The 26,844-nt window shown below is 57.4% G+C and overlaps 2 protein-coding genes across 8 annotated transcripts in view, besides 1 other annotated feature; both read right to left on the bottom strand.

Moving 5' to 3' along the window:
• The window catches only part of KCNIP3 (potassium voltage-gated channel interacting protein 3), an 88,731-nt gene extending 86,480 nt beyond the window's left edge, over positions 1-2,251 (bottom strand). Inside the window, exon 1 of the mRNA NM_013434.5 lies at positions 2,145-2,251. Within this exon, the coding sequence (NP_038462.1) occupies positions 2,145-2,159 (15 nt within the window). The 5' untranslated portion in view covers positions 2,160-2,251. The remainder of the gene's footprint in view (positions 1-2,144) is intronic.
• Positions 618-1,118: an enhancer, noted in NCBI's record as "H3K4me1 hESC enhancer chr2:95964228-95964728 (GRCh37/hg19 assembly coordinates)". NCBI's record gives its function as "activates a minimal SCP1, AML or CMV promoter by ChIP-STARR-seq in naive H9 embryonic stem cells {active_cell/tissue: H9 hESC(naive)}" and the evidence as "EXISTENCE:reporter gene assay evidence [ECO:0000049][PMID:30033119]".
• A 6,044-nt stretch (positions 2,252-8,295) lies between the features above and the next one.
• PROM2 (prominin 2) lies at positions 8,296-25,149 on the bottom strand. 7 transcript variants are annotated; one of them, XM_047443449.1, is made up of 24 exons: positions 24,769-25,149; positions 24,088-24,137; positions 23,466-23,729; positions 23,251-23,371; positions 22,941-23,004; positions 22,537-22,626; positions 22,032-22,234; positions 21,594-21,668; positions 20,814-20,877; positions 20,454-20,613; positions 19,601-19,753; positions 18,233-18,356; positions 17,582-17,673; positions 17,372-17,456; positions 14,483-14,629; positions 13,888-13,959; positions 13,027-13,119; positions 12,741-12,794; positions 12,385-12,465; positions 12,134-12,202; positions 11,298-11,387; positions 11,009-11,115; positions 10,592-10,665; positions 8,296-10,374 (listed from the first exon to the last, which is right to left on the bottom strand). In XM_047443449.1, the coding sequence occupies exons 2-23, from the start codon at positions 24,090-24,092 to the stop codon at positions 10,602-10,604; spliced, it is 2,277 nt and encodes a 758-aa protein (XP_047299405.1). In that variant the 5' UTR covers positions 24,093-24,137; positions 24,769-25,149; the 3' UTR covers positions 8,296-10,374; positions 10,592-10,601. The 7 variants fall into 7 exon arrangements, with proteins under 7 accessions (XP_047299405.1, NP_001307999.1, NP_001159450.1 ...); NM_001321070.2 differs by having other exon boundaries at positions 8,296-9,465; positions 22,102-22,234; NM_001165978.3 differs by having other exon boundaries at positions 23,466-23,668.
• Positions 25,150-26,844: the final 1,695 nt, after the last annotated feature.

Genomic DNA, 26,844 nt, shown 5'->3' with positions numbered 1-26,844 from the left:
GATCAAGCTCATGGAGTCCTGGAGCTGTTCCAGTTTTCTGAGCCTCAGTGTCTAGAATAGGAATGGCAGTGCCTCCCCGCCTCCCCATAGGAGTGAGGTGAGAATTCATGAATGGCTGGGGAGTAGGCTAGGGAGCCGGGCAGTCATGGGGCGTTACTGGGGGACAGCCACTGACCGTGACCCTGAGGAGTCAGAACACCTCCCAACCTGAGCTCTGACTACAGTCCCTGCTGCCACAAGAGAGGAAGGTTATTTTTCACAATCTCCCATTGATCTTGATGAGAAACCTAATGGTGGCTTCTCCTAGGACCACTGTCTCTGCTGGGCCCAGCACCAGGAGGTGTGGGTCCCACTCCCCTCCCTGGCCAGGCCAGCCACAGGAAGGCCACCAGCAGACATAAGGACAGTGAGACCCACTGGGGCCCAGGAGCTGGTTGTGGGAGGGTAGAGCGCAGTGTGGGGTCACAATGGCCAAGGGAAGAACCAGATGTAAGTGCAGGACTCAGGCCACCCACTCTGCCAGTCTGGCAGGGGCAGGAGTGGCCAAGCTCCCAGAGTGACCTTTGGCAGTTAAGGCCCGCAGAGGAAAGGCAAAGGAGGGGAGGACTGTCTTCTGCTGGAGGTCAGAGCTGGCTGTGTGCACATCTGTGTGCAGCCTGACTCTGGAAATTCCCATCTCTGTAGTCATGCAGGGTCGCTCAATGTGTCTCTGCCTATGGGCACGGTTGCACTGTGCACCCTGACGCCGTAGTGTGTGAGCCTGGGGCAAGGCGCTACGTTTCTCCACTCTGCCCTGCCTGCATGGTGGTTGCTGGGGAGACTTGAGGTGACAGGAGAGAAGGCACATTTTCCATGTGTAGTGTTGCCATGCTCAAAGGGCTTCATGCCATCACCTCAGCTGATCCTCTTGGCACCCTGGAAGATGGAGCAGATAGCACAAGGGAGGCCTGGGGTTTGGGGGCAGTGTGGTCCAAGCCAGCCACCCGCCCATGCTTGGATGCTTGTCCTCACAGATGAAAGAGGCAGGAAGCCATCTGTTCAGGGCAGAGACGCTGAGGTGCCAACCCCATATCCCTTCTTTCCTACATTCAAGACCCTGATTGTCTCTGGGTCCTTTTGCCCTTCTTTCTTTCTCCTTCCTGCTCATATGTCAGTATGAGCCCATGTGTGCTGGCTGGAGCTCCAGCAGTTATGTTGCACCTTAAGGTAACCTCAGGGGTGATACAGGGCAGGCCTGAAATGCTGCTGATCAGGCGGCCTCCAAGCCAGCCCTCCACTGCCCCTCTGGACTTCTGCATGAGAGAGAAACCCCGCTAACCTTGTTCCATCCACTGTTATTTGGGGCGTTCTGTTATGAGCAGCCAGACCTGAACTATCCTGAATGTGTGAGCAGCTCACAGGGCATCAGGCCAGACCTTTTGAGAGTCAGCTAGAGGCTGGAGGGCCAGCTTATTTCTCCTTCCCTCATTCCTCCTTTAATTCTTCACCCTTCCCTGTTCCCCACCACTGTTTCTCAAACTCTGTGCCAGGCGTTTTCCTTGCATTCTCTCTCTGACCTCCCCACAGCCCTACTGAAAGGGAATGTGTGGGAAGTGCTCTTGTTAGGGGCTCCTAGCCCTTTCAGAGGAAGTGGGCACTCATTCGTTACTTGATTGCTTGATTAGAAGATGCGTTCATTGACCAACCTCCAAGCACAAGTGACTCCCTCCCAGGCTCACCCCTCCCCCAAACCTGAAGGCTGTGGGGCCCGGGCTCAGTGTCAGCCACGCTGGCACCTGACCCAGGGACCTAACTGAGCAGGATGAGTCGTGGGCTGACCCCAAGCTCCTCCTCTGTCCAGCTTTTCTTCCGCAAACACTTATAAACCTCTCCCATCCAAAGGGAGCCCTAGGAGTTCAGCCTCCCAGCCAGGACACCCCAACACCAGCCAGGACACCCCAACGCCAGCCAGGACACTCCAACACCAGCCAGGACACCCCAGCGCCAGCCAGGACGCCCCAACGCTCACTTTCCCCAAAGGAAAGTGGAACAAGAGGGGACAAGGGTCAAAGAAAAAGGCTTCCTGGTCCAGAGCAACCCCCAGAAGCCTCCATTCCTCCCCCCGACCCCCCTCCAGAGCAAGACCCCATTCCCCCAGCACCTACCTTAGCCGGCTGCATCCTGGGCGCTGAAGAAAACTGTTGCCAGCCTCCCCACTTCACAGCCGAGGCAGACAAGACTGCCCAGGCCGGCTGGCAGCTGCCTCATGTTTGCTTGGACCCAGACGTAATTGTCAACGGCGGCTTCTCGCCCTCCCCCTGCCCACCCCTTCCTCCCTGCCGGCTTCTATCGCTCCACCCCTCTGCCTCCTCGCTCCCTCCCTTTCTCTCTTTCTCTCTCTCTCTCTCTCTCCCCTCTTTCTCTCTCTCTCTCTCCCCTCTTTCTCTCTCTCTCTCCATGGCCCCTAATCCTGGTCTCTCAGAGCCTGTCCAAGCCTCTGTCTGGCTCTCCTGGCCTCTCCCCTACCCTGTCACCAGCGGCTCTCTGTGCCTCCCCTGCCCGCTGCCTCTTTCTCTGCTCCTTGCCCTTTTTGGTCACCAAGGAGGAATGGGGGTAGAGGGTGCAGGGAGCTGGGGCTGGGGAGAGGGGAGTTCAGGGCAGGAGTTTCTGCCCCAAGAAGTGGGGAGGAGCAGCAGTTGAACCCAGAGTGCCCAGGAGGGACTGTGGAAGTGGAAAAGGAAGGGATCATTCCTGGAGGTATTTTCCAGAACAAGCCAGGACACCCCCACTGCCCCAGTCCCGCCTGCCACTCTTCACAGACACAGGACAGTGCCACCCTTATGATGATCTCAGCCCAAGGGGCCCCCAGGACAGCAGGGAGCCACTGCACCCAGCATCTGAAGCGTCCTCTCTCAGGGTCCTGGCCTGAGGTGCTGGTCTGCAAGGTGCTGGTCTGGGGCTCACATCCTAGAAACAGCAACAGCCACCAGGGCTACATCAGCAGGGTGACACTCAGGGTCCTTCCACCTCTTTCATCTGTCCCTTATTAACTACCTCCCATTCACCCATCCGAGGGCCTCGAAGCACGGGTGTCTCCCCAAAGCATGACCTGCTCATGCTCTCCAGCTGTGCTGGGTCCCCTCCCAGCTCCCAAGTCAGGATGCATCCAGGGTGGCTGAGGACCTGACGGGATCTCCTGGGGTGTGAGGGTGAAGGATGGGGCCGAGGGCTCCCAGGCATCCCTGAGAGAGGGGGCTGTGTCCTGTCCCTTGGGCGGGCAGCTCCTGGGCATTTGCTTGGCCCCCAAGCAAACCACTCAGGAGCCAGGTGCCTGAAACCTTTGCCAAGTTTCCCTTTTTGGAGCCCAGAGGAGCCAGCCTGTGCCAGTAGTTCCCATGGAGACGAAGCCCTAGGATGCCTCCCTCCTTTGCAGCCTGCACAATTGTGCTTGCATGCCCTTTTCCTTTTTTTTTTTTTTTTTTTTTGAGCCAACCAATTACCTCCAACTTTCAGATCCTCAGGGGAAGAAAATAGCCTGGAGCTGTCGACCCACCGAGGCAAGGAGGACTGTTTCCAGAGGGGAGGTGGCAGCCCAGGTGTCTGGCCCTGTGCGACTTCAGAACAGGCTGGACTTCACACTGGGGAAGGGGCTCGGCAGAGCCCGGAGGACTCCCTAGCTGCCCCCGCCCCACCCACACTGCACCCTAGGAAGTGGAGGGAGGCAAGCGCCTTCATGGCTGCCAGCTCAGGGCCGGCATCCTGGGAGCTCATCTGCTTTTTTTTTTTTTTTTTTTTTTTTTGAGACAGGGTCTCACTCTCTCACCCAGGCTGGAGTACAGTGGTATGATCATGGCTCACTGCAGCCTTGACCTCCCAGGCTCAAGCAATCCTCCTATTTCAGCCTCCCAAGTAGCTGGGACTACAAGGCTCATGCCACCATGCACGGCTAATTTTTGTATTTTTTCGTAGAGATGGGGTCTCACTATGTTGCCCAGGCTGGTCTCAAAGTCTGGGGCTCAAGTGATCCACCTGCCTCTGCCTCCCAAAGTGCTGGAGTTCCAGGCATGAGCCACCGTGCCCAGCCCCATCCTCCTTTCACTGCCTGAGACAGTCCTGCCCTCCTGACTCTGAGCAAGCCTCGCCTCCGCAAGCAGGGACGCATTGAGCATTTTGAGTCCTCATAGTGACCTTGGGAGAAAAGTGTAATTATCTCACTCTACAGATGATAATGGTGAGACCCAGAAAAGCTAAAAGACTGGCCCAAGTCACAGGCTAGGGAGTGGTAAAGCCAGGTCCCAAAGCCTGTTGCCTTCTTCCTAGAGTGAGCACCGTGGATGCTGAGATCCCGCTGGCGGTTCTATGCCCACGGCTTACACAGCAGCTTGGAAACTTGGTGACTGCACTGCCGTGATGGGCTGGTCTTCCTGACGGCCTGGCCGGAGGAGTCAGGAGCAGAGGAACCCACTCATCACAGCAGCACCCCCAAGAGCTGCTCGCCCCTGCTTGGCACACTCGCTGACATCCCACACTCAGATGCGCTGTCCTCGGAGTTCACCAGCCGTGACACCGCGGGCCTGGGACAACTGCCCTGCTCTGCTGGACCCACCGGCTGTTCGGGCCTTGCGAACCTCCCACTGCAGCTAGCACCTGGGTGGACACCCCTCATACAGATGTGGGGCGTATGTGACCCTGCCACCACACCCCCCTTCCTCAGTGGCCTATCCAGGGCCCCAAGTGCTTCCAGCTGGGTCCCTCCCCTGGGCCTGTGGGGAACACAGGAATGAGAAGGGGAGGAGAAAGGGGGCTGGACTCCCACATGGGCCTCAGAGGCGGACCTGTTGTGGGCACACGGGCATCTGCAGACTTCCCAGAGACGGCCTTGGCAATTCCCAGTATTCTCTGCGGTATATCAGACCCACAGAAGGTTAAGGAGGCTGTGGAAGGACCTGGTCTTGTCCACTAGGAACGCTTCAGCCCTGTGTTTCCCACTGTGGTTTCCTCACATAGGGGCTGTGGGGAGAAACTGAGGCTGGGGGGAGTTTGGAAGTGGGAAAGGAAGGGATGATTTCAAGCCCGGATGAAGGTCGGGTTTTCTCTCGTCACAGTGTTTCAGGAGGCAGTCGTGGGCTGTTTCAGCTGACCAGGGCCTTCATTCTTGTCCTTCCCCGGGCGAGCGGCTCATGGTGCTCATGCCCACAGGTCTTGGGGGCCTCTGCGCCTTCCTCCATTGTTGCTCATGATCCCACATTCCAGGCCCAAATTCAAGTCCCTCCTCCCCAGGCCTCCAAACGCAACTCTGTGGAGCCCCAGCCCAGGGCTCTTTTCCTTAGGCCCTATTTTTTGTTGGGCCCTGGCTGAGGGGTACAGGGGGAGAGAGAGAGAGCTGAGGGGTACAGGGGGGAGAGAGAGAGAGAGACAGAGAGAGAGAGAGAAAGCCTCGCCAGCTGGGTGCATCTTGGTAAGAAAATACAAATGGTCCTCATCACTTCACATCACAAAACACAGGCTCAGCCCCCATCGAAGCCCATGCCATCATCAACTCTCCTGCTCCCCACCCAGCTCAGGCCTGGGGGTGGCAGCTTGGGGCAGGCAGTGGGCATGGCAGCCTCTGGCTGAGCTGCGCTCTGGGTTTGCAGAGGTTGAGAGCTGTCCCTCTTTCTCTGTGGGCTCCTCCAAGGGTCCTAAGAGCCTGGCCCCATGGTCCCCTGACTAGAGTGTTTCACATGGGCCTCAGGGGACCCATAAGCCCCCAATACTTAGTGGCAGCTCTGCCTCCTCTTGGCTGAGGTCGGTTCACTCTCTGGGCAGCCTCCTTCGACTGGACCTAGGAGACTCCATGCTGTCTCTCACAGGAGGCCCTCACCTGGGCCGCCAGCCCTCTCCTTAGCTCCGCCTTCAATGCAGCCAGCCTGACTGCCCTCTAGACTTTGCAGTGGGTGAGGCATCAGTCCAAGGGATTTATTAAACTGCAGGGGACACGGTGAAGCTCTCTGGCGGCTTTCTTTAAAGCCCCTTTCCTTGCAGCTTGAAGTGAAGAGAGGGCGGCCGACCGCACCCCTTGGACTCAGCTCGCCTCTCTGAAACCTCCCTCCTCTAACCTCAGCGCCTGACTCCTTGGCTCCCACTCCAGCCCTTAGTGTGGGTAGGGGCTCAGCCACCTCTTCCCTAAATTCTGCTTCACTCGTGGGCAGAAGCCAAGGGCTCGGACGGGGCCCCACCCTCTGCACACCCCCTCCATCCCTCCTCATCCGAGCTGCAGTTCTCGGTCAGCATTTGTAAGACGGATGAGTGTGGACCACCCCAGGACGGGCACACCCAGCATATGCTAGGAAGGGCTGGGACCACGGAGAAGGAGCTTTATTCCGGCAGCATGTGCTGTGTGCACCAGGTTGGCCACTAGCCTCCTGGTTCAGCTCCTGGCACTCAGGCTAGAAGCGATGGACGACTCTGGCTCAGGGAGAGTAGGGAAGGGGGATGCTGTCCACATCCGCCCAGATCAGGGCCTCAGGCTGATTCCAGAAGACTCAGATGTGGCCTGAGTGGCACTGTTCTCGGCTGATTCATTCGGATGAGCGTTGCCCTTTCCACTCCGCCCACATCCAGTCTGTGTGCCTGAGCTTTCTCAACTGTCAGGCAGGTAAATAACAATGCCTGCCTCCCAGTTAATTCATGGAAAGTGCTTCCTGACTTATGCTCAGAACTCCGTAAATAAATGTTAACTCACATTGTTTGTCCCTTCAGGTAGTTGGGCAGGCTCTTGCCCCAGCCACTTGGCTCTCCCTTTGTACACCTCAAGCCAGCTGGAGCTGCCCTGAGCAGCCACCTGGGACCTTAGACACCTTGGCCCATCTGGCATTTGTTTGGCAGAATCTACCATGAGGCCTTCTGTTGGGTGGCCAGGTTGAAGGGTCTGGAAGAACTCCTAGCACCCCCAATCTGTCATCCCTGCCACAGGGACAGTAAGGACACTTGGTTCAAGTCACCTTGGAGATAGGGCCTCGCTCCCACATGCCCACAGGGAATGGGAACTGGCATTGCCTCCAGGAAGAAACCTCCAGGGCCACCAGGACCAGGGGACCTGCTTCCAAAGCCTGGCTGGGCTTCAACTTCTGAGACCCTGAACCAGCTATGTAACTTCCTGGAGCTTCCTCTGCTCAACCAGATGATAATTTGCTCCCTCAGAGACAGTCATGGGCCAGAAGAGAGAGATTGTGACCTCGAAGGGGCTTTGTTTCACATATAAAGTAGCATTAGCATTTTAGGATTCCAGCATTTTAAAAGCCAGAGAAATCGGTAATTTATTTTTCTCTGTGGCTATTTCTTTCTCTCTGCCAACTGCCGAGTGCCACCCCATCCCCGGGTAACCAGTATTACCGTGCTGCTCTCTAAACAAAACTCCTTTCAAAAGACAATGTTCAATTAGCTGGGCCACAGTTTCTGAACACTAAATTCAAAGAGTGGCAGCCTTTTCCCAATATATAATGGGAACGTCAAAGTCAGTTTTTTAGGACTACTTCTAATAACTGTGGACTGGGTAATTTGGACCAAATTCCCAGTTCAGGACAACTTAAAAAGCTGCTCAAAATTTGCGTGTGTGTGTGGGGCGGGGGAGGACATTTTGAACAGCTTTTAAAGTTATATATATATATATTTAATAAATATATGTACGTATATATATATATTTAATAAATATATGTACGTATATATATATATTTAAGTCTAATTGAGAGTATTGGGCAGGAAACAAAGCAGTGAAGAATTACAAGGCCAAGATCTGGGAAAAGAAGGCAACTCAGAGACATATGCATGGCATCTGGGACTACGTTTTCTGTAGGGGGTCTGCTGATTCTAGAAGACACTGCAAAGCCCACCAACAGGAAGGCTACCTGGCAAATGTTTCATGCTTTGGGTTGGAGCCCCAGTGGGCTTCACCCTATGAATATGAATGAAACAGAAGTAGGTCAGCCCTTAAAGTGACTCAAATCCTCTCATCCCCTACAAGTAGATGAAAGAGATCTGGCTCACTGCATCCCCAGCCACCTGCCAGATGTAAACATAATCCTCATAGAGGAAGATAACTCCATCCTAGACCTGAAATTACTTGTACTCAATTAAAACATTGCCAAGTATGGGAGGAGACAGGACAAAACTAACAAAAAACAAGAGAAACAACAGGCACTAGAAACAGACTCATGGAGGCTCCATATAAGGGACTAACTGAACTTTAAAATAACTATGCTTAATATGTTCAAATATATAAAAGATAAAATAGGTAATTTTGAAAGAGAACTGAAAATATTTTAAAAATGGTTTCTATTCCATTTGTAATGCCATCAATTTTATTTTTGAAATGCAAGGGTGCTACTTCCCCCAGGTAGGTCAACAGATGAGTAACAAGCAAAAAAAAAACCTCTAGGAAAAGCAAAAAGAGGCAGTCATGCTACATTCAAGCATGCTCATCTGACAGTGATAATAATACATTGTGTATGCACCATTCTAATTCCCAGTAGAAAACTTGTTGCTGGTTTATAAGATGCAGTTAAACATAGACACTTCCAGCCTGGGCAACATGGCAAAACCCCGTCTCTACAAAAAATACAAAAATTAGCCAGGCATAGTGGCACACACCTGTAGTCCCAGCTACTCGGGAGGCTGAGGCATGAGAATCGCTTGAGCCCAGGAGGTGGAGGTTGCAGTGAGCCAAGACTGCACCACTACACTCCAGCCTGGGTGACAGAGCGAGACCCTGTCTCAAAACAAACAAACAAACAAAAACAAACAACACAGACACTCCCTGAAACCCAGCAGACCACAATCTTAAAGGAATTTCTGCCTTTGAATAGAGGCCTGCCTCCCTCTTCCCTCGTACATGCCCGGATGCTAGCTCTACCCCCGGCCCAGAGCAGTCATGGCAAACAACAACAACGACAATAATAATAGGCAGCTTCCATCCACTGAGCATTTGTTTTGTGCCAGGCCACTGCTAAGGGCTTTCCACAAATTATCACATTTGATTTTCACAACCCTTTGAGGAGGCTGTGACTATTCTCCCCATCTCATAAATGGAGAAGCTGAGCGAACAAGCATCACAGCCAGGCTGTGAGTCCAGGTCTGCCTGCTCCTGACAGCAGGCTCCCAGGCTGGGACCCACTCCCTACCTGCAGATTGCTGGAATAATCCCTGGATGCCTGCAGCCAGAGGTGACCTTAGAACTCTCCTCTCCATAAACACTCATTAAACACCAACTATGTACAGGGTCCCAGCCTAGGAAACCTGGTTTTAAGGACCCAGAACCAAGTCTCAGGGAAGTGAGAACACTTTAATGGATCTGAGGTCTGTCCATCTCTTCTCTCTCCTCTTCCTCATTTCTGGAACGCAGTGTCCAGCACTCAGGGCTGACACAGGGATGGGCTGGGGATGACCCTAGGCCACATGCGCAGGATAAAAGGGGCCGTGCAAAATCCTGTTCTGGCCACCAGATCACTCCTAAGAAAGTTGGGTGGGGGCTGTGGAAGATGCTTCCTTCTGAAGAGGTAAGGGCAAGCCCCCACTGTGGCCCAGGTCCCAGGTCCCTTCCTTGGGAGCCAGCACTCAGAGAGAAGCTAAGTGCTGGTACCCCCATTTCTAACTTGGGTGCAGGCAGGGAGGCTCGGCCTTCAGACAGGCCTCCCTCACCCCACTGGACACCAATAAATCCTGGATGAGATCTGCAGAGGGCCCAAGGCCCTGGGGCAGTGGAGGGCTCAGAGGCCATGAGGCAGGGCCTGCAGCCAGCCCAGACCTAGGCCATGGTGGCCCCTGCCTGATTAGTGGCGTTACCTGAGTGGTTTGGTTGGGCAGGGTGGTCTCTGGGGCCAGCAAGGTAGCAGTGGAGATATGGTGAAGAGGGGACTAAGGGAGGAAGCAAAGGGCCAGGAAGGGCATAAGAGGGAAGTGGGGGCCAGGGGGGAGGCCAGATGAGGACGGTGTGGGGGGCGAGGGGCTCAGAGAGGGGCAGGGGGAGGCTTGGCAGGGGGAGGCTTGGCAGGGGGAAGACACACGGGAAGGGGAGTGGGGTTGGACGAGGCCTCTGTCCCACCCCAGGGTCCAGGCTCCAGCAGGTGGAGAACAGGCTCTTCCTGTGAGGATGCCACCAGCATGGGGGTAAGGGGTGACACCTGGAGGGACTTGCTGGCTCTGCAGCTGCACAGAAGTCCCATGTGATTCTGAGCGTGAATGATGGGGGTCGTGAGCAGAAAGGGGTGGAAAGGAGCAGGCAAGGTGGGGCCAGGTAAGCCGGAACTGGGGACAGTCCAGGCCTGGATGCCAGCCTGGGCTCTGGGGCAAGAGCTACCGAAGTCCTGTGGCCCAGGCTAAATCAAAGGGGAGGACAGGCAGCCTCAGGGTCACCTCACCCTGTCAGGGATTAAGAAGGAAACGGGTGAAGGGGAGGGAGGGGAGAACAGGGCTGTCAGCCCCACTGCTGGATGGGCCACACCCAATACCCAGACTCCACCATGTCCCCAAGCCTTCCTGCCCTCCTAGGCCCTGGAAACCCCAGACCCCAGCCCCTCCCCACCCCACTCCCTTAATCCCTGGCAGGGAGCAATTAAGCGAGTTGGGGAAAACTCACCCACAAGGCCCTACAGCTTCAGGGAGGTAACCCGGGGGATGTGGAAGAGCTGAGTCTCCTCAGAGCTGGTGGAGCTGCAGTGTCAAAGACAGAGAGTGAGCATACCCTTCCCCCCAGACCCTCAGCCCTGACACAGGGACAAACCCAGAGCCCTGAGGGTTTCTCCTCGGAAGCCCTGTGGGGGATGGGAAGGGTCCCACGAAGCTGCGCCCAAATGGATGCAGCAAGAAGGGTAAGGGGCAGACATACGGGAGAACTTCCTGGCTTTGGAGCTCCTCAGAGTGTGGCTCTTCAGGGCTCGCTCATGAGCCTCCTCTGCCTGGGAGGTCTCAGGAGGGGCTGTGACAGGGGACCCTGGCGGCTGAAAGGACACCTCCCTGGCCCCTGATGCTGCCTGCAGCCCTGGCAGCCCCTCACCTGAGGCGTTTCCGGATAGGACGGAAGTATTTGGAGGTCTTGACGGCAAAGATGATGCTGGGGATCAGGAAGAAGGTGCACCATGCCAGGCAGAACCAGAAGGCATTCTGCAACAAGGCGTGAGGTCGGCTCACCAACCCACGTGGCACCCAGCCTCACCCAGCTGCCTTGTCATCAGAGCCGGGGCAGAGGCCATGCCTGGCTTCACACCCTGCTCACCCGGCCCTCCCTGGAGAGCAGGAAGGCTCCGGGACTTGGTGAACAAGCCCCGATGAGCTGGGGCACTCACCCAGGGGTCAGCCATCATGTCACACAGGATCACACGGCTGTTGTCCAGGGCTCCGGAGAGGGGCTGGCAGGTGGCAATGCGCTGAGTCACCTGTGGCGCCAACATGAGGCAGGTGATGCAGAGACACCTGGACCCACAGGCGCACACCCATATTCAATTCAGGGAGAGTGGTTGACAGGGACACAGAAAGGCCTGGGGACACCATTGGGGCCACCGCACACTTGTATACACATGCAGAGAGGCAGGTACAGACAGATGCGGACATACTCTACAGACTCCTCGCTGGGCCCCTCCCCTTTCCATCTGTTCACCAGCCTGGATTAAGGCCTACTATGACCCAGCACTGTGTGTCAAGCCACAGTGCTTGAAAGCACACATGTGTGTGCATGCATACACACACACTCACACACACATAGACACACAGACACACTCAGGGTAAAACCAGACCACTGTTGCCCTAGTGTGGGCATCCAGACAGCTTGCAGAGGCTGTGTTCAGCAAGGGTCTGCATCGGGAGGTGGGCTTTGAGGATTGGCCTTGGACAAGCTGGGGAAAGGGCCAGCCCAGGGAAGGACCTGCAGGCCAGGTGTGATGAAACATTTTGGAGAACGCCAACCCTGCTCACACTCAGCTCAGGGAAGCGCTGCAGCAGAGGTGGGGTGGACAGAGCTCAGCCAGCAAGCAGGGGTGCAGATGCCAGGTTTGGGAGTTTGGGTTTGATCCTGAAGGCCTGGGTCACCCCCAAGGGGCTCCGGGGGCGGGGGCGGGGCAGAGCAGGGTGAACAGCTGGTCCGATGGAGCAGGGAATCAGTCATTGCTTCTGAGGCCCCACTCACCTCCTCTCTCACCCAGGCCACGTACTGGGAGAAGTAGCCCATCTCCCGGGCCAGGAAACACTCACTCACCTGCAGGAAGGAAAGGAGGTCTGAGCTGTAGGGGTCCCAGAAGCAGCAGTGCCCCCCACCCACGCCACCCCCCATGCCTGGCAACTTGAGGACAGGCCCAGCTTTCCTGGGAGCCACAGTGAGAAGCTGGGACTGGAGAAGCCTGGGGTGGAAGCCCCTTCCCTGTCCCACCCACCACTCACATTCCTCAGGATCCTGGCTGCCCAGGCAGGCAGCTCTCCTTTCAGGTAGGTGACATTGGCTAGGACATCTGAGGTCTCCAGCTGGAGGGGACGAGAGCCTCAACTCAGTGTCCCACATTCACGCATCCATTCATTAATTCAACACACACCACAGCACACTCAGCAGGAGAGGGTTCAGCTCCAACAGACAAGCCAAGGGTGGTGATCCCCCAGGCTCTGCTGCCACCCCCATCTTCCTCCCAACCCCACCTGCAACCTGGGCAGAGCTCTGAGGTGCAGAGTGAGATGGGCTCCTACTTCCTCCCCGCCTCTGCAGCCCCTGTGCTCCACCATACGTCCCCACCAACAGCAGCCACCTGGAGATTCGGGGCAGAGGACTCCAGGGCCCTGACGCTGAGGTTGAGCTTTGCCTGTGGAGAAGAGATCAGGGCTGGTTAGGGGAGTGCAAGGGAAGGGGAGGGAGGAGAGGGGAGGAAAGTGGAGGGGAGTGGAGGGGAGGGGAGGGGAGAGGAGGGGAGAGGAGGGGAGAGGAGGGGAGAGGAGGGGAGGGAAGGGACTCTCAGAACTTCCCTCCCCTTTCACTGTCCCCTCTCCACGTCTCCCCTCCCCCAGGCCCCAGGCTCCCCGGGCCTCCAAACTGACCACAAGGCTCTGCTGGGGGACGACCTTCTCCTGGTGAAGGTTTCTGAGTCCTTGGGCCTCCTCCTGCAGCCGCTGCCCCAGCACAGAATTGTCCTGAAAGGATACAAAAATCAGAACGGCCCCGCCCAGGACCCATCTACCCGTCACCCAGCCTTTCAGTCTGACATACCAAGAGAAAGTGGGAGTGCTGGGCTCAGAGGCAGAAAACTGAGGCCTCCTTAAGCTCCAGGGCCTGATCTTGGTTTGGGGGGCCTAGATCCAAATTCTAGGTTCACTCTAGCTTGCTGGGTGCCCCTAAGTCAGTCACAGAACATGCCTGAGCTGCAGGGGCACCTGCTGAAATTGAGGATGCTTCTGGCTCTGCCCACCCTGTGGGGTTGTTGTGGGGCCTATGGGATGTTTCAAAGAGAACTTTTAAACCCTAAATAGTTATAAATACAAAATGCTATTTTTCCCCTCAAGGGCAACTGCCATGACATCTCATTCATCCCAATGTCCTCACAGCACCTGTCCCAGCAAATCCCACAAGTGGCACACACAGAAACACCTGCCCAACTGCGTGAGGCCAGAGAAGTGATTTCATCTGCTCTGAGATGGAGGACAGTCCACCCAACAGATGAAGAACCTCCGGCTCAGAGATGCTGCATGTCTTGCCCAAGGCCACACAGCCAACGGGTGGCAGAGCTTGAGTCAGAACTGATGCTGCAAAACCCTCCAGCCCAGCCAGGGGTCAGGAGCCTCAGGCCTCACTGGTGGGGGTCCTCAGTTCCCTGCCTTTGCCCTCACATCCTCCCACCCTTTCCCGCCTCCCAAGCCCCCTGTGGCTCCTGCTGCCCAGTCGGGGCCCTGTTTCCCACTCACTTGGGCCTGGGCCAGTCCTTGCAGCTCCTGGGCCAGCTGCTCCATGCTGGTCTTCACCACGGGCCTCTGGATCTGCAGGTGGACAGAAGAGGCCAGGAGGGATGAACCCAGCTCCCCTGGGGCCCACCACCACCTGATCCCAGCCTCCAAATCCCCAGTCTTATCAAATATAACCTACACCAGCTAAGTGTATTGTGACACATCAGTCACAGTGAGTTTTCCCTGGAACTGTGAAATATTTCAGACATTTTCCCAGTGAGATAGAAACAACAAGAACAAATAAGGCACCCTCTGGTGTAACTAAGGAAGAGGCAACTTCCCAATGCGTCCTCGGCAGCAGTGGGTTCAGGACCATGAACAGCAACACATGCTGTTGGGTTGGGGGAGAGGTTGTCCATTCCTGTGTGACCGGGGTGGTGGCAGGAGGACAGGCCCAGGGGCACATGATCTGGGGACACCTCCACAGGAAGAGGCCCCAGGAAATGTGGAAGAGCCAGAGCTGGGACAAGGCAAGATGCACACCCAGCTCCTCTGTGGGCCCCTTCGTTCCATCACCACCTGCTGAGGAAGCCCTGCTGAGGTGCCCACCGCTGACCTGAACGAGGAAGTCGGGGTAGTGGATGCGCTGAAGCCCACTGCTCTGCAGGGCCTCCAGGTCCCGGCGGGCGGCTGAGCTCAGCAGGTCCAGGCTCTGTGTGTCTACTTTCAGGCTCTGCAACTCCTGCCGTAGCTTGTTGGTATACTGGGAGAGCAGGCGCAGGGTGGGAGTCATGCCCAGTTGCTGAGCCAGGACCCCAGAGATGCTCCCCTAAGCACAGGGGTCACCAGGCGATATGGTTTGGATATTTGTCCCCTCCAAATTTCATGTTGCAATGTGATCCCCGGTGTTGGGGGTGAAGGTGGGCCTGGTGGGAGGTACTAGATCACGGGGGCGGATCCCTCACGTATGGCTTAGTGCCATTGCCATGTGATGAGTGAGTTTTGCTCAGTTATTTCACGTGTTTGAAAGAGTGTGGCACCTCTGCGTTGGCTCTCTCGTTCCCTCTCTCCCTATGTGATGTGCTGGCTCCCCTTGGCCTTCGGCCATGAGTGGAAGCTTCCTGAGGCCTCCCCAGAAACGGCTGCCGGTGCCATGCTTCCTGTACAGCCTGCACTTAAACCTCTTTTCTTTATAAATTATGCAGCCTCAGGTATTGCTTTTTTTTTTTTGGTTGGGGAAGCGGACAGGGTCTTGCTCTGTTGCCCAGGCTGGAGGGCAATAGCACAATCACAGCTCACTGAAGCCTAGATCCCCCGGGCTCCAGTGATTCTACCACCTCAGCCTCTCGAGTAGCTGGGACTACAGGTGCAAGAAACCACACCTGGCTTTTAAAAAAAATTGTAGAGGAGGGTCTCCCCATGTTGCCCAGGCTGTTCTTGAACTCCTAGGCTCAAGTAATCCTTCCACCTCAGCTTCCCAAAGTACTGGGATTACAGGCATGAGCCACCATGCCCCAGCCTCAGGTATTCCTTTATAGCAACACAAGAACAGACTCACACAGCAGGCCCTCAGGGCCCCCTGCCCTGGACACCCCAAGCCCCAGACAGGCTCCCAGTAGGCCCCTGCCCCAAATGCCAAGACCTGGCCTTCCTCCAGTGCCCATCTGGCTTCTGGGCAGAGACACAGACCTTCCCTGGCCACCTGAAATAAAATAGCTCTCTCAGCCGCTCTTTATCCCATCAGCTGTGTCGAGGCCTTCAAAGCACTTGTTGCTCTGAAATGATCTTATTTGTGGGTTAATTGTTCAATGCTGTCAGCTCCACAAGAGTGGGACTTTGCCTGCCTATTCAGCCCCAAACCCCCAGCATCTAACTCGGAGGGTCACACATGGTGGGCAGGAGACAAGTTTGTTAGCTGTGTGAATGAATGAATGAATGAATGAATGAATGAATGAATGAAACTGTATTTTCAGGAAAGAGCCTTAGCATTTTCCTACTATCACTGGAAGAGATTTAGAGGTCATAAAAGTCAGCCCAGTGTTTAACAGATAAGAAACTGAGGTCAGAGTGGAGCGTCCACTTGCCGAGGTTACACAGGTGGTTAGAGACTGCAGCCCAGCTTGGCTCTCCTCCCCGCATCCCTCCAGGCTGCCTTCTCCTGGAGGAGAAAAGGCCTGGCCCTCTCGGGTGGGGGCCTTCGGGCCGTGTCTCAGGCATCAGTGGCAGCAGCTTCAGGAGAAGTGGAAAGGTGGCTGGTGCCCTCCCCGTGCTCTGGAAAGCCCTGTGTGTTACTCATGTCTGCCTACCCATCAGTGTCTCCTTTGAGGACGAGGATTCTTACAGCCACATTTGGTACATTGTCAGGTGGCCTCAGAGGACTGCCCAGTGCATCTGAATCCAAAGCCCTATCTATCCAGACTCTCCTGTGAGCTGGACCCTCCCCTGCCAAGGACCAGAGCCCAGGACTCCTCCCCTCGAGAGCCATGGCTTCCTGCCAGTAGAGGATGGGGGCTCCTCTGCCCAGGCCCCTGGTTCATCCCTCCCTGGCCAGGCTTCCTCCACAGGGCAGTGTCTCAGCCTAGCACTGAGATATCGCCTGCTCGGGGAGCTCCTGTCTGGTTAAAGATGCGGAAGGAGGAGTGAGCTGCATAACTGTCCCAGGTTGTGCAGTTCAAGGTACAGAGTTGGGGCTGGGCCATCCGGCTGTGCTGTCCGTGGGCCGAGGCTGGTTGGTGGATCCAGGGGTTGGAAGGGTTTCCCAGAACGATGCAAAATCAGGAGTTAGCATGCTCTGTGTTTGGGGAGGGCGAGGGGAACCAGGGCCAGGGGATGTGGGTTTCCCCAGCATATGCTTAGGAGCGTGGAAGTCGAGGAGTGAATGTCTTCCAGCTGCTGTGCACCATGAGGAGAGCCCCATTCTCAAAGTCCATCCCTCTTGTGAAACAGCCCTTCCTTGCCTTCATTCTAGAACTGTCTCTTTCCAGCATTGGCAAGTGTCTCCAGTTCTACACACCAAGTTCCAGTAACTCCAGAGGTTACAGGAAGAGGCTTGTCAGGCTGGGGATGGAATCCTGCCACCACCACCTCCCACCTGCGTGAGCTTGGCAGGCCCTCCACCAACGTTAGCCAGACTCACCACCATCCTTGTCACTGCCACGTCCTTCCCCAGCCTCCCCCTCCCAAGTGGAGCATCCCAGCCAATGCCTGTCCTCAGTCAGGACACATGGGCCCCCTCATCCTCCTGCTCACTGTCACCAGCCTTTCCTGCTGCCACCTTGGCTGTGCTTGGGGCTGGACATAGCCTTCAGGTGCACACGGACCCACCTACACACCCGGAACCTTCCCCAGAGCTGATAACTGGGCCTCTGCCCTTGGGCACCTTAATCGCTCACACAGACTTCTCAGGTCTCCTAGGTTCAAAGAGACGGTGCCTCCACAGAGGCAAAAAGACCAGAGGAGGGGGATCTGAGGAGGGCTCCTCACAGTTTCCAAAACGTTCTCTCACCTGGTTGATATCCAGGTGCTCCTCCAGGTCGTAGGAGTCGTTGAGCTGCAGGACTGTCCAGAGCGCTGCCCCTTCCTTGCACTGCCTGAGGAGGAGTGAGGGGTGCAGACGATGAGCCTTGGGGGTGGCGGGGGGGCTGATGTCCCCTGAGGGACACCGGCCCTCCTCCTTCCTTCCCCGGTCCCAGCTCTGCCCAGGCTGTCCACTCACTGATAGGCTTGGTGGATGCTGATGTTCTTCCTCAGGCCAAGAAGTTGCGACAGGTTCATGGACGGGGGCAGGTTCCCTGGGGTGTCTGCAAACTGGGGATGGGGCAGTGAGAAATGGGCACAGAGCGGGGTGGGGGCAAGGCCACCCTGGTCCCCTAGGGCCTGGCCCTGTGCTGCTGTGGCACAGCACAGACCAGGGGTAGGAAACATCCCCTCACCCCAGCTCACACCTGGCCTCTAACTCTGGTGACCCCTGGGCCCCAAATCCTTACAGGGGCTCTTCCCATGAATCCCTAGGAGGGTTGCCCAGCCCGATCTTCTGCAGAGAACCCAGTCCAGCATCGCAGCTCACCGGGCACCAGGGTCCCAGCTCCCAGACAGTGTTAGGAGATGAGAGGGAATGGGTCAGGGTGCCATCTCTCAGGGTCCCTGCCCTGGGGCCTGGGCAGCATCTCAGGGACTCATGGGTGCTCTCTCCCTCCACCATCCACTGGCGGGTTTCTGTCTCTTTCCTTGGCCATGTCTGTCTCACTCCTCCCCTCCCTCTCTCCCTTTTACCCCCCGACCCCCACTTTCCCCCAACCCTCCTGCTCTGCTGATACCGCCCCCCACCTCTCTCCCCAGGAGGGCCTGTGAGCAGAGACAGGCCTACCTCAAAGAGCTCGCCGTTCTCCCAGCTCTGGCACACCAGCGTCTGCACGTTGCCACCCACCAGGAAGGTGGCGAACACCAGGAGGATGAGGGGTGCAGCAAAGAGGAAGCTGAGGCCCACACCTCTGGGGTAGGCGAGAGGCAGGACTGAGGGACAGCAGGGACTGGCTGCCCTGACCATACCCTCTGTCCCACCCTCACCCCAGGGCCAGCCTGCTCAGCCAGTTGGCCCCAGCACAGAGCCTTTAGAGGAAAGGAGCTTGGAGGACTTGGCCTCCTGGAGAGGAGGGAGAACCCAGTATTCCTGACTGTCCCGGCCTCACCTTCACCTCATCCCCACCCTGTTCCTGGTTCCCTGGCTGGCCCTGGCAGCCTAGAGGAGAAAACAGCTGTTTTGTTCAAAGAGCCAGGACTATCCGGGCTCACACCTATAATCCCAGCACTTTGGGAGGTTGAGGTGGGAGGACAGGTTGAGGTGGGAGGATAGCTTGAGTCCAGGAGTATGAGACCAGCCAGGGCAATAAGTGAGACCATGTCTCTACAAAATTTTAAAAATTAGCTGGGGGTGGTGGCACACGCCTGTAGTCCCAACTGTTTGGGAGGCTGAGGTGTGAGAATCGCTTGAGCCTGGGAGGGTGAGGCTATAGTGAGCCATGATGGTGTCACTGCACTCCATCCTGGGTGACAGAGCAAGACCCTGTCACAACAACAACAAACAAAACAAAAAACAAACAAAACCCAAAGAGCCAAGACTGCTCACTTCTGTGCCTAGGGCCCATGGAGGTGACCTACTCCAGGACCCAGCACTCAAAAGGGTCACCTGGCATGACCAGGCATGACCTGCCGACAGGGCAGAATCCCAGCAGGTCTGAGGAGTAAAGATCTTAGACCAGGGGGCTCGAAGGGCTTATGAGGCAGGCACAGCCCCATGTCAGGCTGTGAGGCTTGGAAAGTAAAACATGGGGTGGATTTCAGCCCCCACTTACCCCCTTAGCCAGGTACTCTTGTTCAGTGAACAGCCTGTACAACTGTATGTGGCAGCCTTGGCCTTAGAGACCGTCTAGTCTGGGGTTGGCAAACAGATTCCACCTCTGGTGCTGCTGCCTATTGGTGGTGGGGGCCGCCTGGAAGCTGGGGTAGGGACTCTAGGCTGTGTCTGACTCAGGGTAAGGAGTGCCCATTAGGTGCTACAGTTGCCCCTGCTGTAGGAAGGAAGAGCTCCTTGTTGGCCATTCCTGCTCTGGTTCAACCCCTTTATTCAGATGATGACACTGACACTGGCAGCCACACCGGGAGCTATGCTCAGGAGCGAGAGTAATCAGCCAGCCCTATAAGAGGGGACCCTTCCCCTCTCCCAGCCCTTTCTTACGCCATGAGGAAGCGGGCTCCAGCCTCGCCCTTGGCTTCTGGGTGGCTGGGGTCGTCCCTGGCAGACAGGCCCCAGATGCCCAGATTGAGGCCCAGCAGGTTGCAGAGCACCACGAATAGGACCACGGAGCACAGCACGCAGCCCACGATCCACCTGCCACAGAGAGGACATGGGTGTCACTAAGAAAGGAGGTGGCTGGCACCAACATGGACAGGTGCGGGACGTGGCGACCGGGTGTGGCCTCTAACCCCAAGGCTGGGGCTTCAGAAATGCAGATACAGACTCTTCCTGAGGCCCTACTGCTCTTGTGTGGTCTCCAGGCTCAGGTTCCAAGGGCACACAGCCTCATAGGGACTTGGAGGCCTCTGGAGTCAGGGGTCTTGGCTTAAAAATATGCAGAAGCGGCCGGGCGCGGTGGCTAAGGCCTGTAATCCCAGCACTTTGGGAGGCCAAGGCTGGTGGATCACAAGGTCAAGAGATAGAGACAATCCTGGCCAACATGGTGAAACCCTGTCTCTACTAAAAATGCAAAAATTAGCTGGGCGTGGTGGCGCACGCCTGTAGTCCCAGCTACTTGGGAGGCTGAGGCAAGAGAATCGCTTGAACCGGGGAGGCAGAGGTTGCAGTGACCCAAGATCGCCCCACTGCACTCCAGCCTGGTGACAGAGCAAGACACCGTCTCAAAAAAAAAAAAAATGAAAAAAACAAAAACAAACAAACAAACAAAAAACACAGAGGCTCAGTACAGTCAGGGGCTGATAGAGGCTGGGAATGGGGCTCAGGGTGTCAGGGTGGCATAGAGGCTGGGCTGCCCACCCCACCCCACCCCATCCCACCCTGCGGTGCCCAGCACCTGTAGGTCTCGTATCTCTGCACCTCCTGCAGGTAGGGGCGGCTGCTCTCCTCCACCTCCTGCAGTGCCTGGGCCCAGCGGGAAGCTGCCTCCAAGCCCGGGAACCCTTCAGCCAGTGTCCTCACCCCTTCCGGCTGCTGGGCCACTGCCTTCTTCAGCTCTGCCCAAAGTAACAGGGACTTGTGGGATGCGGAGGGCACCCTGGGGCCCAGGAACAAGACAAGCGGGCAGGAAGAACATCTGGGAACCACAGAGGGAAGACAGTCCCCCGCCACCCCAGTCCTCTCTCAACAAGCCTCCCTGGTAGGGGTGGGGTGGGAAGCCATGCCTGGCAGCTGCCTCTGACCCGTGTGGCCTAACCTTGCACCACGCTGGATGTCTGCATGGCAGCCAGGGCTGGAAGGGCGTTGAAGGTGCTGTTCTCCTGCAGGAACCAAGTAGTGCTGGGCCTCCCCATCTCTGCCCAGTGTCCCCTCTTGGGAGACCCCAAAGTCACCAGGCCTAGAGGGAGGGCCCCCCTCAGTGCTCCCAGTTTCCCTCTTTTCTCTTGGTCGCTGCCCTCCTCTCCCATCCCCTGGCCCAGTCTGACTCAACTTCCCAAAACGTTGCTCCTCCCGGACCTCTTCTTCCTACCCCCATCCCTCTCCCACCATTGCAGTGAACTCTCAGCCGCCCTCCACACAACTGCCAGGTCTAGCTCCTGAAGGTCCAGCTCCAGTCCACCCTTCTAGCCTCAGCTCTGACTTCCTTCCTTCTGGAACCTTCCACTCCAGCCACCCAGCATGGCTGACTCATCATTTCCCCAGCTCCAGGTCCTGGGTCCTGGGCGCTGACTCACAACACCGCATCCTCCCCCTTGGCCCATCTCCACCCAGGGGAGCCGCCTGCCCTCTGGGCTCAGACTGAGCACTGCTCCCTTGCCACCCCCAGACGCCTGCCGCCTTGAAGGGCCCAGCTCTCCCATCTGAGCACAGATTGTGTGCACACCAAGGATGGTCGTCGGGAGTCCCCTGCCCAGGGTGCTGTGTGGTGGGTGGGACCCCAAATATTAGGTTCAACTGGGTTCCTGCCCAAAAGGGGGAAACAGAGGCCCTCACTTGGCAGGTGAGGGAGAAATCAGGCAGACCAGGTGGCTCTCACCTCCTGGACCATGCTGGAGAAGTTGGCCTCGGGGACACCTTTTAGCTGGTGCAGGACATGGTCCACAGAGGGCACCTGAAATGGGGGAAGGTGGGTTATGACAAAGTTCATGGAGAGGCCTGAAGGGGATCCCTGAGGGTGGATGAGGGGGGCAGGGGCCTCTGAACCCCAATGTCCTCAAGTGTAAAATGAGGACTGCCATGGCTCTTACTGCCCCTGGTGGCAGCAAGAACTCAAGGAGCTCACACACATGAAGTTCACGTACAGGGCGTGGCCTGGGGAGCACTCCACCCACTGCCAGGATGACCCGCATTAACCCTGGGTGGGTGGAGCAAGGGAGGAACATTGGGGCAAGGGGACTGGGAATTTGCCAGATCCCAGGAGCAGCAGGCAGCTAGCCCTCCGTGGCTTTAAGAGGACTCTGTCCTGGGTCTGCACCTGGCTGAAGTCAGCACCCAGCTCCAGGGTGCGGGCCCAGCTCAGGGCCCCTGCACAATCTCCCTGGCACCTGGCCTCCTGCAGCAGCTCAAGGAGGCGGTCCCGGTGTTCCCGGATGGCTGGCTCCAGGTCCTGCTGCCCGGCCTGCAGCTCTACCACTGTAGCATTCAAGGTTTGCAGGTGGTGCACGGAGACCTGCAGGACTGAGAGACCCACACCCAGCCTGAGCAGGGTCCACCATATGCATCCCCAGACGCCTTGCAGGAGGCAGAACTCCCCTCCCCCAGCCAAAGGGACCTGCAAATCATTGACCTCCTGCCTACAGTGGAAACTGCCCCAGGGCACATTAAGCCAGGGGAGGGGGGCTGGATCCTGGGGTACAGCGATGGGGAAGTCACAGGTGGGGCAGAGGTGGCTCAGGAAATCCAGGGCTAGGTGCAGGTGGGATCGCCCCAGGAGGACACCCGCTGGGCTCCACACTATCCAGGATGCGGCTCCAGCTCACCCTGGCCCAAACTGCCCACGGCCGCCAGCAAGGGGTACACGGAGCTCCTGAGCTGAGTGTGGATCGCGCTCCCAATGCTCACACCAACACCTGCAGAGCACAGGGCAGTCTGCAGGGTGGGACCCCAAGAGTGGAGGGGCCCTCCCCATTCCCATCCTGCCTCCCCAGGCCCCACCGGGCTCTGCAGGAGCCGGGGGGTGGAGGGGAGTGAAGGAGCGGGGACACGGCTTCTTCCTCCAGCAGCTGAGTGGCGGCCACTCTTGCTCTCCAGCCGGCCTGATCCCCACCTCTACCAGCCTGTTCCCGGGGGTGTCCAGAATGAGGGAGTGAGAGGCCCCCACCGAGGCACCCGAGCAGGGGCCCTGGAAGGAGCCAGCCCACCTGCCAGTCCCCGAGACCCTCACCATCCAGCTCCTCTGAGACTTGCTCCTGGGGCAGGGAGAATTGCTGTGCCACGGCCTGCAGCTCCTAGGCAAACACAAGGCCCTGAGGCTGCCCTTCCTGGTCACCCACAGTCCTTACGCCCTTCTCTCCCTGGCCCCTTCCCTGCCCCTATGGCATCCACCCTGAGGGTGGTCGACTCTCAGGCAAGGGCGGGAGAGGAGGCGGCTTTCAGATGCGCTGGTTATGGGCCATCGAGGGCCCACTCGGCTCTGTCCTGCCCGGGCCCAGTGCTCACAGGGGCACATGAGGGTGAGGGGTAACAGTGCTCACTTGGGGGACATCAGAGACCAGGCCCCAGAGGCTGAGCAGGGTCTCAGGCATGGCCTCGATGCTGGGGCCCATCTGTTCATGCGTGCGCTGGTTGGTGACAAAGGCACAGACCACACCAATCCTGTGGGAATGGAGGGAGGAGGAAGGTGCTTGCTGGGTAAGAGGGAGCCTGGGGGCCACAGCCCGCCCTACCCGGGCCCTGGGCAGCGCCTTACAGCAGCAAGAGGGTGGTCAGCAGCAGGAAGACCATGAGGGCCGCGCGCTCACAGGCCAGCGCCTTGTGCTCTGTCTTCACTCGTCCCCCGCAGCGCCGGTGGCAGCGGCAGCAGCAGAAGCAAAGCCCGGCAGTGGGCACCAGCAGCAGGTAGAGGCCCGCGATCACAGCGCATACCACGTAGCCCGCCTCGTACCGCACCACCTGGGCAGGCAGCAGGGCATGAGGGGTGACCCGACCCCCACTGCCCAGCCCTGGCTTCTGCCTGAGTCCAGAGGGAAACCAGAAGGGGCGGGAGTGCCGTCAGGGGCATGGCCTGCATCTCATGGAACCCGTCCCAGAGGTGACCGCATTCTTACTGCTCATCACCATCTTACACAGGAGGAAGCTGAAGTTCAGGAAGTTCCAGCTCCCTGCAAACCTCACTGCCAGTAAATGGCAGAGCTGTGGTTTGCACCCAGGTCTACGGACTGCAGCGCCCACAGAGGAGGGGAGAGGATGCCTGAGCCCCTGCCTAGTGGACACCCAGCGAGGTGGGCTAAGGGGAGCCAAGGCTTTTCTGCTCCCACCCTGCTGCTCACCCCAGAACTCCCTCCCCCAGCACCTTTCCCCAGCTTGCTCACCTCATTCACCTTCACGGAGGCCAGCTCATTCAGTAGGGCCTTTACCAACTCTATGGGAAAGAGCCAAGCTGAGGATTTGGGGACAGCCACTGCCCTGCCCCTGTGTCCCTCCTCTCCCCACTGCCAGGGCAAAGTGGCTCTGAGGCAGGGCTCCTGCCACCACCATGGCACCCTCGCAGAAGGCTGCATCACCGCAGCCCTGTGCCATCCTGCCCTGACCTCAGCACTGCTACAGGAGGGCGAGCAGAGAGGAGGCTGCAGACCTCTCCTCCTGGACCCTACAGGTCAGTCCTGAGCCTGGGCAAAGGCAGAGAAGGGGTCTGGCCTGGCAGTTCTTCCCCTCAAGCAGCAAGGGACAGGACTGGGAGGGTCCTTCAGACACTCCTGGACCACCCAACCCAAGCACCGATAGACTAAGAGGATGTCTGAGTCAGGTCTAATGTATTTCCAATGTAACCTCCTCACTTTACAGACAGAGCACCTGAGGCTCAGAGAGGAAGTGAGGCTTACCCACAGTCACACAGCAGGTTCTGGAGCCCTCCCCAGATCCTCCGCCTTCTACCCCAGGAAGATGGCAAGTGCCTGCTTGTAGGTTGGGCACATCCCATGGTAGAGTGGGACAGAGGAAGCCGGGCTGGGGACCCAAATGCTGAGGCCCTCATGGGGGAGGGGCACACTCACCTGAAGGGAAAGGATTGAGCTGCACCACCGAGAGGAAGCGGCGCACGGTGCCATAGAGGGAGTCCAGGAGTCCTGGCGCACGAACTCGAGGGGCCAGCCACCGGGCCCTGGCTGCTGGGGTGAATGTCAGGTGCTCTGCCGGGCCAAGGAACTTGCAGTCTGTGGCCCCTGCAGCCAGCTGACTCAGGGCCAGCCCCAGGCCCAGGCCCAGCAGGGGAGCCAGCAGAGCCAGTGTGTGCTTCATGGGGTCAGGAAGGTAAGGGGCTCAGGCTCAGGAGGGAACAGACAAGCCCAGGGCAGGCCATACATCCTTCTCCAGCCTCTGTCCCTCTCTCCACAGCTCTCAAAACCTGCCCGACAGGTTTGGGTTCCTGAGCTACCTGGCCTCCCGCCTCCCTGCCTGCCTTGGAGCATAGGAAGGGCAGGGGTGGAGGCACAGGGTAGGGGGCAGGGCCAGGCTGGGACCGCCCTTGGTGGCCTCGGGTGGAAGCCTGGGCTCCCCACCACCTAGATCCTTGCAGGCAACGGCTGCCACCAGCTGGGTCCGAAAGGCACCTCAGCAGCTTGGGATCACCTAGAATGGCCCCATTTCAAATATTCTGTTCCATGCCCAGCCCCAGCAGCCCAGTCTAGGAGCTGGGAAAACAGCTGCTTGGTGAAGCCCTGGTCAAAATGGTCATAAAACCAGAGACACAGGGCCAGGACCCAGGCTTGCTCTCCCTGCTTCATCTGGAACCTGCTCTGTCCCTGCAGGTCATGCCCGGTGCCCACTGCCAGGCCAATCCTGAACAGAGGCCCACCCTGACACGCACAGGCCTTTGGGAGGGCAAATCCCAGAGGTATGCCCTTTGGCCTGGCCATACCTCATCCAGTCAGCAGTTGAAAGAACTGATAGGATATGACCAGAAACGTGTCTGCACAGGTCTCTGTTTTGTGAACAGCTGTATGCCCAATGCCCAGAAAGTCGCCTGTAGCTGAGCAGGTCATGGGGAAATTCACTGAAGGGCTGGAGGATATCAGAAACAGTCCTGAAAGCCACCACTGAGGAACCAGCAAAATGAGCCTCTTACATCACACACTGGGCAGTTGCTAAAGAACATGCCGTGGAAATGTCTCTTGTGACTGAAAAATATTCACATGCACTCATAAGTGCAAATAGCAGATTACAGACTAGCACACGCAGTGAAGGTGTAAAACGGTGATCATTTCCGCCAATAGCAGATTACAGACCAGCACACGCAGCGAAGGTGTAAAATGGTGATCATTTCCTCAAACAGAAGATTACTCCGTCTCTACTAAAAATACAAAAAAAAAAATGAGCCGGGCGTGGTGGCGAGCGCCTGTAGTCCCAGCTACTGGGGAGGCTGAGGCAGGAGAATGGCATGAACCCGGGAGGCGGAGCTTGCAGTGAGCTGAGATCGTGCCACTGCACTCCAGCCTGGGTGACAGAGCGAGAATCTGTCTCAAAAAAAAAAAAAGAAGATTACAGATCAGTACACACAGTGAAGGTGTAAAACAGCAATCATTTTGCAGTGGAGTTGCCGGCAATTTTTCATTCTCCTTTGCTCACGTGTACTTCCTCATTTCTGTGCACTAAACGCGTGTTACTCGTATTTAAATAAGTAATCAAAGTTTGTGAGATTCCATGGCAGCTCCCTGCCCCTGACTGGGAGCCTTGGAGAGAAGGGCTGGCTCCATGGCTCCCAGGACCCCCAAGCTCAGCCCAGGGCAGTAGTTCAGGATGGTCTGCAGGGTGGGTGAGAGGCTCAGGGATGTCCTGCTGTCCCTGGTAGGGTTATCAGGCAATTAGGGCCTTACGTGTGAATCAGGGCTGGGCCCACAGTAGAGCTCTTACCCTCCCCATTGCTGCCTCTGTGACTTTCTCAGAGCCAGGGGATGAGAGAACACAATGGTAGAAGGCATAGTCCAGTTACAGTGGGGTGAGACAGGAAGTGGGGCTTCATCAAAGGGTGATTCAGAGATGAGGATCAGGGATGCAGTGAAGAATAGTCTAGGGGTGTCCTGGCACCCTAGGTCTGGTGGGAGCTGGCCATGGACCCCAGGGAGGGTCCAGGG

This window comes from Homo sapiens, chromosome 2 (genome assembly GCF_000001405.40).
Source record: "Homo sapiens chromosome 2, GRCh38.p14 Primary Assembly".
Classification (NCBI taxonomy): domain Eukaryota; kingdom Metazoa; phylum Chordata; class Mammalia; order Primates; family Hominidae; genus Homo; species Homo sapiens.
Note: the sequence above shows the minus strand (reverse complement) of the source record. Positions and strands in the feature narration are given on the sequence as shown.